Source organism: Homo sapiens, chromosome 1 (assembly GCF_000001405.40).
Source record: "Homo sapiens chromosome 1, GRCh38.p14 Primary Assembly".
NCBI lineage: Eukaryota > Metazoa > Chordata > Mammalia > Primates > Hominidae > Homo > Homo sapiens.
Genome location: NC_000001.11, coordinates 111,006,519 through 111,015,889, shown reverse-complemented (window position 1 = coordinate 111,015,889; position 9,371 = coordinate 111,006,519). Strand labels below are relative to the sequence as shown.

The following is a 9,371-nucleotide window of genomic DNA, read 5'->3' as shown; positions in this document are numbered from 1 at the left end:
TGGTAAAGGTAGGGGAAAGAGGAGAATAGAGAAAATTTCCTAAAGGATACAAAATTGTAGTTAGATAGGAGGAATAAATTCTAGTGTTCTATAGCCCTGTAGAATTACTATAGTTAACAATAATATATTATATAGCTTCAAACAGCTAGAATAAAAAAACTGAATGTTCAAGATGTTCAAGAACTGAATGTTCAAGAAATAATAAATGTTCAAGATGGTGAATATGCTATGCTAATTACCTTTATCTGCTCACTGTACATTATATGTATTGAAATATCACTATGTACCCCATGAATGTGTACGATTATTGTATGCCAGTTAAAAGAAAAAGATATAATTTGTGGGGAGGAAGAAGTGTCATGGTGCCAGGCGTGGAGCTTCTTCTCATTGGCTCTTACTAGGGAACAGCTGGAAAGCAGGCCAAGTAGCCACTGTGAAGTGCAGGTCGATAAAGAGGTCCCATACTGCCAGCAGGTGGCCAACCTCATCCAAGACATTGGATAGCATCTCAATGTCTCTCAGCTTACAGTAAACACTGCAATTGTTTGTATGTACTATTCTTTCACTAAATTCAGTAGGAATCCTTGATGGAGTAAAATGTCTGCAGACTGACTAGGAGGCAATGTGAATGAATTAGTGGATTTCACCAGAAACTTTGGAAGAGTGCTGGGTATCAGTGTTGCACTAAAGGAAGATGAAAATTGAGCTCTCTTTAGAGGAAACAAATACTTCTGTGAGGAGTGTGGGTAATACTGTCAACCATGTAATTCTTTGGCAGTGAAAGGGGAGGAACAGGCTCAGAAACTTGAACATGTTATTAAAGTAGCACATGCTTGTCTTCACTCCCTACAGTGCTGGATACTAAATGTGGTACTTACTTTCAACAGACTCAAGAACTGGTTTTAATTGAAACCATAACCCTACAAACACCAGATTTTGAGATCAGCATTGAACATCCACAATCAGATGTGGTAAAACATACCAAGTTAGTAAGGGCAAGCAAGGATTTGACACAGACATCTTATTTGATGGCTATAAACAGTCTGCATCTCACAACCTTCTCTCTTCAGTACAAACCAACAGTGATAGCATATGTATACATTCATTTGACTTGCAAATGATCCCATTGAGAGATTCCTGCATCAATTGATGGAAAGCCTTGGTGGTAATATGTGGATTCTACAGTTACTCTAGAATTATTAGATGAGCTAAAATATGAGTTTCTAAAGTTGAAAAGGATTAGAAGCTCAAAGACCAATCAGGCATTTAATAAACCAAAAATAGATGATATTTATCAGAGACACCATTTCTTTATCTTTGGTCCAGAATTCCATTTTAATAGATAGTAACACTGATGTACCTATAAACCCACGTTTTCAGAAATGATCTACATTGGCATTCCCTAGGCCACTTCTTTTCTTTTTTTTTTTTAAATTGAGTTTCAGAATACATGTGTAGAACGTGCAGGTTTGTTATGTAGGTATACGTGTGCCATGGTGGTTTGCTGCACCTATTGACCCATCCTCTAAGTTCCCTCCCCTCACCCTCCCCAGCCCCCCAACAGGCCCTGGTGTGCATTGTTTCCCTTTCTGTGTCCATGTGTTTTCATGGTTCAACTCCCACTTATGAGTGAGAACATGTGGTGTTTGGCTTTTTGTTCCTGTGTTAATTTGCTGAAGATGACGGCTTCCAGCTTCATCCATGTCTCTGCAAAGGACATAAACTCATTCTTTTTCACAGCTGCATAGTATTCCATGGTGTATATGTACCACATTTTCTTTTTTAAGAAAATTTAAATTCATTTTATTTTACTTTAAGTTCCGGGATACATGTGCAGAATGTGCAGGTTTGTTACTTAGGTATACATGTGCCATGGTGGTTTGCTGCACCTATTGACCCAACCTCTAAATTCCCTCCTGTCACCCCCAATCCCCCAACAGGCTCTGGTGTGTGTTGTTTCCCTCCCTGCGTCCATGTGTTCTCATTGTTCAACTCCCACTTATGAGTAAGAACATGTGGTGTTTGGTTTTCTGTTCCTGTGTCAGTTTGCTGAGGATTATGACTTCCAGCTTCATCCATGTCACTCCAAAGGACGTGATCTCATTCTTCTTTATGACTGCATAGTATTCCACAGTGTGTATGTACCACATTTTCTTTATTCAGTCTATCATTGATGGACATTTGGGTTGGTTCTGTGACTTTTCTATTGTAAATAGTGCTGCAATAAACATACATGTGCATGTATCTTTATGGTAGAATGATTTTTGTTCCTTTGGTTATATACTCAGTAATGAGATTGTTGGGTCAAATGGTACTTCTGGTTCTAGATCCTTGAGGAATCACCATACTGTCTTCCACAATGGTTGGACTAATTTACATTCCCTCCACAGCCTCACCAGCATCTATTGTTTCTTGACATTTTAATAATCACTATTCTGATTGGTGTGAGATTGTATCTCATTGTGGTTTTGATTTGTATTTCTCTAGTGATCAGTGATGTTGAGCTTCTTTTCCTGTTTTTTGGTCACATAAATGTCTTCTTTTGAGAAGTGTCTGTTCATATCCTTTGCCCACTTTTTGATAGGATTGTTTATTTTTTTCTTGTAAATTTGTTTAAGTTCCTTGTAAATTCTGGATATTAGACCTTTGTCAGATGGGTAGAGTGCAAAAATTTTCTCCCATTCTGCAGGTATGTTAGTTTCTTTGGCTGTGCAGAAGCTCTTTAGTTTAATTAGATCCCATTTGTCAATTTTTGCTTTTGTTGCAATTGTTTTTGGTGTTTTATTCATGAAGTCTTGCCCATGCCTATGTCCTGAATGGTATGGCCTAGGTTTTCTTCTAGGGTTTTTATGGTTTTGGGTTTTACATTTAAGTCTTTCATCCATCTCGAGTTAATTTTTGTATAAGGTGTAAAGAAGGGGTCCAGTTTCTCCATATGCCTAGCCAGTTTTTCCAGCACTATTTACACCATTTATTGAATAAGAGATCCTTTCCCTGTTGCTTCTTTTTTGTCAGATTTGTCAAAGATCAGATGGTTTTAGATGTGTGGTGTTACTTCTGAGGTCTCTGTTTTGTTCCGTTGGTCTATATGTCAGTTTTGATACAAGTACCTTGCTGTTTTGGTTATTGTAGCCTTCTAGTATAGTTTGAAGTCAGTAGTGTGATACCTCCAGCTTTGTTCTTTTTGCTTAGGATTGTCTTGGCTATATGGGGGTTTCTTTGATTCCATATGAAATTTAAAGTAGTTTTTTTCTAAGTCTGTGAAGAATATCAATGGTAGTTTGATGCATTCAATTCAATAGCATTGAATCTACAAATTACTTTGGGCAGTATGGCCATTTTAATGATATTGATTCTTCCTATCCATGAGGATGGAATGTTTTTCCATTTGTGCCCTCTCTTATTTCCTTGAGCAGTGGTTTGTAATTCTCTTTGAAGAGGTCCTTCACATTCCTTGTTAGCTGTATTTCTAGGTATTTTCTTCTCTTTGTAGCAATTGTGGATGGGAGTTCATTCGTGATTTGTCTCTTTGCTTGTCTATTGTTGATGTCAAGGAATGCTTGTGATTTTTGCATATTGATTTTGTATCCTGAGAATCTGCTGAAGTTGCTTATCAGCTTGAGGAGTTTTGGTCTGACATATTGGGATTTTCCAAATATAGAATCATGTCATCTGCAAACAGAGACAATTTGACTTCCTCTCTTTCTGTTTGAATACCCTTTATTTCTTTCTCTTGCCTGATTGCCCTGGCCAGAACTTCCAATAATATGTTGAATAGGAGTGGTGAGAGAGGGCATCCTTTTCTTGTAATGGTTTTCCAAGGGAATGCTTCCAGCTTTTGCCCATTCAATATGCTACTGGCTGTGGGTTTGTCATAAATGGCTCTTATTATTTTGAGACATGTTCTATCAGTACCTAGTTCATTGGGAGTTTTTAGCATAAAGGGACGTTGAATTTTATTGAAGACCTTTTCTGCATCTATTGAGACAATCATGTGGTTTTTGTATTTGGTTCTGTTTATGCGATGGGTTACATTTATTTATTTGCATATGATGAACCAGACTTGCATCACAGGGATGAAGCTGACTTGATCATGGTAGATAAGTTCTTTGATGTGCTGCTGAATTTGGTCTGCAAATATTTTATTGACGATTTTCACATTGATGCTCACCAGGGATATTGGCCTGAAGTTTTCTTTTTTTGTTGTTTTGTCTCTGGCAGGTTTTGATATCAGGATGAGGCTGGCTTCATAAAATGAGTTAGGGAGGAGTCCCTCCTTTTCACCTGTTTGGAATAGTTTCAGAAGCAATGGTATCATCACCTCTTTGTACCTCTGGTAGAATTCAGCTGGGAAACCATCTGGTCCTGGGATTTTTTTTTTTTTTTTGGTTGGTAGGGTATTAATTACTGCCTCAATTTCAGAACTTTTTGTTTATCTATTCAGGGATTGACTTCTTCCTGGTTTAGTCTTGGGAGGCTGTATGTGTCCAGGAATTTGTCAATTTTTCCTAGATTTTCTAGTTTATTTGCGTATAGATGTTTATAGTATTCTCTGATGGTAGTTTGTATTTCTGTAGGGATCAGTGGTGATATCCCCTTTATTATTTTTTATTGTGTCATTTAATTCATCTCTCTTTTCTTCTTTATTAGTCTAGCTAGTAGTCTATCCTGTTAATTTTTTCAAAAAAACAACTTCTGGACTCTGATTTTTTGGAGGGTTTTTTGTGTCTCTATCTCTTTCAGTTATGCTCTAAACTTAGTTATTTCTTGTCTTCTGCTAGCTTTTGGATTCGTTTGCTCTTGGTTCTCTAGCTCTTTTAATAGTGATGTTAGGGTGTCGATTTGAGTTATTTCTGACTTTCTGATGTAGGTATTTAGTGCTATAAATTTTTCTCTACACACTGCTTTATCTGTATCCCAATGATTCCGGTACATTGTCTCTTTGTTCTCATTGGTTTCAAAGAACTTCTTGATTTCTGCCTTAATTTCATTATTTACCCAGCAGTCATTTAGGAGCAGGTTTTTCAATTTCCATGTAATCATGTGGTTTTTTTTTTGTTTTTTTTTTTTTTTTTTGAGACGGAGTCTGGCTCTGTCACCCAGGCTGGAGTGCAGTGGTGCAATCTCAGCTCACTGCAAGCTCCGCCTCCCGGGTTCACGCCATTCTCCTGCCTCAGCCTCCGGAGTAGCTGGGACTACAGGCGCCCGCCACTACGTCGGGCTAATTTTTTGTATTTTTAGTAGAGACGGGGTTCCACCGTGTTAGCCAGGGTGGTTAATCATGTGGTTTTGAGTGAGTTCCTTAATCCCGAGTTCTAATTTGATTGCACTGTGGTCTGAGATACTGTTTGTTATGATTTAGTTCTTTTGCATTTGCTGAGGAGTGTTTTACTTCCAATTATGTGGTCGATTTTAGAATAAGTGCCATGTGGCACTGATAAGAATGTGTATTCTGTTGATTTGGGATGGAGAGTTCTGTAGATGTCTCTTAGGTCCACTTGATCCAGAGCTGAGTTCAAGTCCTGAATATTCTTGTTAATCTTCTGTCTATTGATCTGTCTAATATTGACAGTGGGGTGCTAAAGTCTCTCACTATTATCGTGTGAGAGTCTAAGTCTCTTTGTAGGTCTCTAAGAACTTGTTTTATGAATCTGGATCCTCCTGTATCGGGTGCCTGTATATTTAGGATAGTTAGCTCTTTTCATTGAATTGATCCTGTTGCCATTATGCAATGCCGTTCTTTGTCTTTTTTGAAATGTGTTGGTTTAAAGTCTGTTTTGTCAGGGACTAGGGTTGAACCCCATGGTTTGTTTTTCGTTGGTTTTTTTTTTTTTTGCTTTTTATTTGCTTGGTAAATTTTCCTTCATCCCTTTATTTTGAGCCTATGTGTGTATTTGCACGTGAGATGAATCTCCTGAATACAGCACACTGGTGGGTCTTGACTTTTTATCCAATTTCCCAGTCTGTGTCTCTTAATTGGGGTAGTTATCCCATTTGTAAGTATTGTTATGTGTGAATTTGATCATGTCATCGTGATGCTATCTGGTTATTTTGCACACTAGTTGATGCGGTTGCTTCATAGTGTCATTGATCTTCTTATTTTGGTGTATTTTTGCAGTGGCTGGTACCAGATTTTCCTTTCTATATTTAGTGCTTCCTTCAAGAGCTCTTGCAAGACAGGCCTGGTGGTAATAAAATCCCTCAGCATCTGCTTATCTGAAAAATATTTTATTTCTCCTTTGCTTATGAAGCTTAGTTTGGTGGGATATGAAATTCTGGGTTGAAAATTCTTTTCTTTAAGAATGTCGAATATTGACCCTTAATCTCTTCTGGGTTGTAGAGTTTCTGCTGAGAGGTCCACTATTAGTCTGATGGTCTTCCCTTTGTAGGTGACCTGGCCTTTCTCTCTGGCTGCCCTTAACACTTTTTCCTTCATTTTGACCTTGGAGAATCTGGTGATTATATGTCCTGGAGTTGTCCTTCTCGTGGAGTATCTTAGTGGTGTCCTCTGCATTTTGGGAATTTGCATGTTGGCCATCTTGATAGGTTGGGGAAGTTGTCTTGAGTAATATCCTGAAGTGTGTTTTCCAGCTTGTTCCCATTCTCCTCGTCTCCTTCAGGTACTCCAATCAATCATAGGTTTGGTCTTTCTACGTAGTCCCATATTTCTGGAGGCTTTGTTTGTTTGTTTTTTTGTCATTCTTTTTTCTCGAACCTTGTCTGTATGCTTTGTTTCAAACTCAAAGTGGTCTTCAAATTCTGATATCCTTTCTTCTGCTTGGTCGATTTGGCTATTGATACTTGTGTATGCTTCACAAAGTTCTCATGCTGTGTTTTTCAGCTCTATCAGGTCATTTATGTCCCCCTCTAAGCTGGTGATTCTAGTTAGCAGCTCCTCTAACCTTTTATCAAGGTTCTTAGCTTCTTTGCATTGGGTTAGAACATGCTCCTTTAGCTCACCAAAGTTTTTTTTATTACCCATCTTCTGAAGCCTATCTTTGTCAATTCATCCATCTCATCCTCTGTCCATTTCTGTGTCCTTGCTGGAGAGATGTTGTGATCATTTGGAGAAGAAGAGGCACTCTGGCCTTTTCAGTTTTCAGCATTTTTTCATCGATTGTTTCTCATCTACATGAGTTTGTCTAGTTTTGATCTTTGAGGTTGCTGACCATTGGATGGGGTTTTTGTGGAGTTTTTTTGTTGTTGATGATGCTGTTGTTGTTGCTTTCTGTTTGGTTTTCTTTCAATGGTCAGGTGCCTGTTCTGTAGGGCTGCTGCGATTTGCTGGGGTTCACTTCAGGCCCTATTCATCTGGTTCACTCCCATGCCTGGAGTTGTCACTCAAGGAGGCTGGATAACAGCAAAAATGGGTGCCTGCTCCTTCTGGGATCTCTGACCTCAAGGGGCACCAACCTGATGCCAGTAGCATTGCTCCTGTATAAAGTGTCTGACAACCCCTGTTGGAGGTCCTCAACCAGCTGGGTGGCAGGGGGAACAGGACCCATTTAATGAAGCACTTGACTGTCCCTTAGTGGAGGGGGTGTGCTTCGCTGGGGGGAAACCCGCTCATCTGGGCTGCCTGGATTCCTCAGAACTACCAGCAGGAAAGGCTAAGTCTGCTGGTCTGCAGAGACTGTGGCCACCTCTCCCCCTAGGGGCTCAGGCCCTAGGAGATCAGGGTTTTGTTCCTGAGCCTCTGGCTGGAGTTGGTGGAGTTCCTGCAGGAAGGCCCTGTCCAGTGAGGAAGGATGGGTCAGGGTCAGGCTAGGCTAGTACTTCTAAATTCAGGCAATATTTCTGTAAAAGACAGTCATATACTGATAATTTGTCAATGTTAGCAACAGGAATGTCAAATATCTCATACATTTGCCATCACACAAGGAATGGCCTCAACATCAAGAATCAGCAAGGACAGAACAGATATATTCACAGAAGCAGGAGATATTTTTGTCTAGTAGCCAGTACTACATCAATTTACAACAAGGACCTTCTATATTACTGCATTCAGGATTACATCACAGACCTGACAAAATTTCTAATCATTCTTCTATTAAGCAAGACTATACTCATAAAGCGGGCAGCAGTAAACACCATGGGCCAATTTCTGCTACACTTAGAATAATTCCTTAGAAAATATCTTCAGATAAATATAGAAAAAAAATGTAAGCTAGAAACTCTTGATCTTAATGTGCAGGACTGAAATTATGGATTTTAGTACCACATACTGATAAAAGCACCAATAAAGAAGAGCTGTCCTTGTGGAAAATTAGTTGACGTGTAAGGTTGGAATTTATATCTGCACTGTTTATTCTGCTTCATTGGGCTATGTGTCTGTTTTTGTGCCAGAACCATACTGTTTTGATTACTATTGCTTTATAATATAATTTGAAATCAAGAAGTATGATTTCTCCAACAATGTTTTTCTTTCTCTTGATTGTTTTGACTACTCTAGGTATCTTATGATTCCACAAAAATTTTAGACTTTTTTTTCTATTTTTGTAAAAAAAAATGCATTTGGAATTTTGATAAAGATTGTGTTGAATCTGTAGATCTTTTGGGGTAGTATAGACATTTTGACAATTTTAATTCTTCTAATCCATAAACACTGGATCTTTATGGATTTTTTTCAATGTGCAGGTGTTTCACTTCCTTGGTTAAATTTATTCCTAGGTATTTTATTCTTTTTGAAGCTTTCATGAATAGGTTTGTTTCTTTATTTCTTTTTCAGATAGTTTGTTATTGATGCAAGAAATGCAAGTGATATTTTAACATTAATTTTGTATTCTGAAACTTTACTTAATTCATTTATAAGTTTTGTCTACCTAAAAGAGCAACAGAGAGAGTGGTTCTTCAAAGACATACATTTATTCAGGAACAAGCAGGGAATTATAATCTGGGATATGAGTGCTAGAACAGATCATAGGCATATTCAAAGATGTTAGGACAAGGAGAAGCTATTAAGGCAAAAGGGGGAAGTTCATGCAAGCTGTCTTAAAGTTGATCAGTCACAGAAGCCCATTGCAGGGACTGGTGATTACTCATTGGTAACACTAATTGCCGTTGGGAAGATGTCTTCATAGAAGCAATTTATCTGGAATTTTTTGTGCTTTCAGAGAGTTCTTATAATAGTTCTTACCATGGGCATATGTGCCTCAGGCCTTCAGAGAGTCTTGGTAATAGTTCTTATCTCAGACATACAAGCATGAGGACCCCTCCTTCATGACCTGCCAGCTGTGCAGCCTTGGGTCTAATATAAGTGACTCAATTTTGCCATAGGCAGCTTTTATATTTTCCCCTTTTGATCAAGACCTTTCTCTGAAAGCATTGCTGCTAAATCAATCTGCAGTTAGGTTTTAATTGTCCTTCAGTGC

General features: G+C 38.4%; 1 pseudogene; it reads left to right on the top strand.

Annotated features, from left to right (window-relative positions):
• On the top strand, positions 345-8,253 carry CCNT2P1 (cyclin T2 pseudogene 1; annotated as a pseudogene).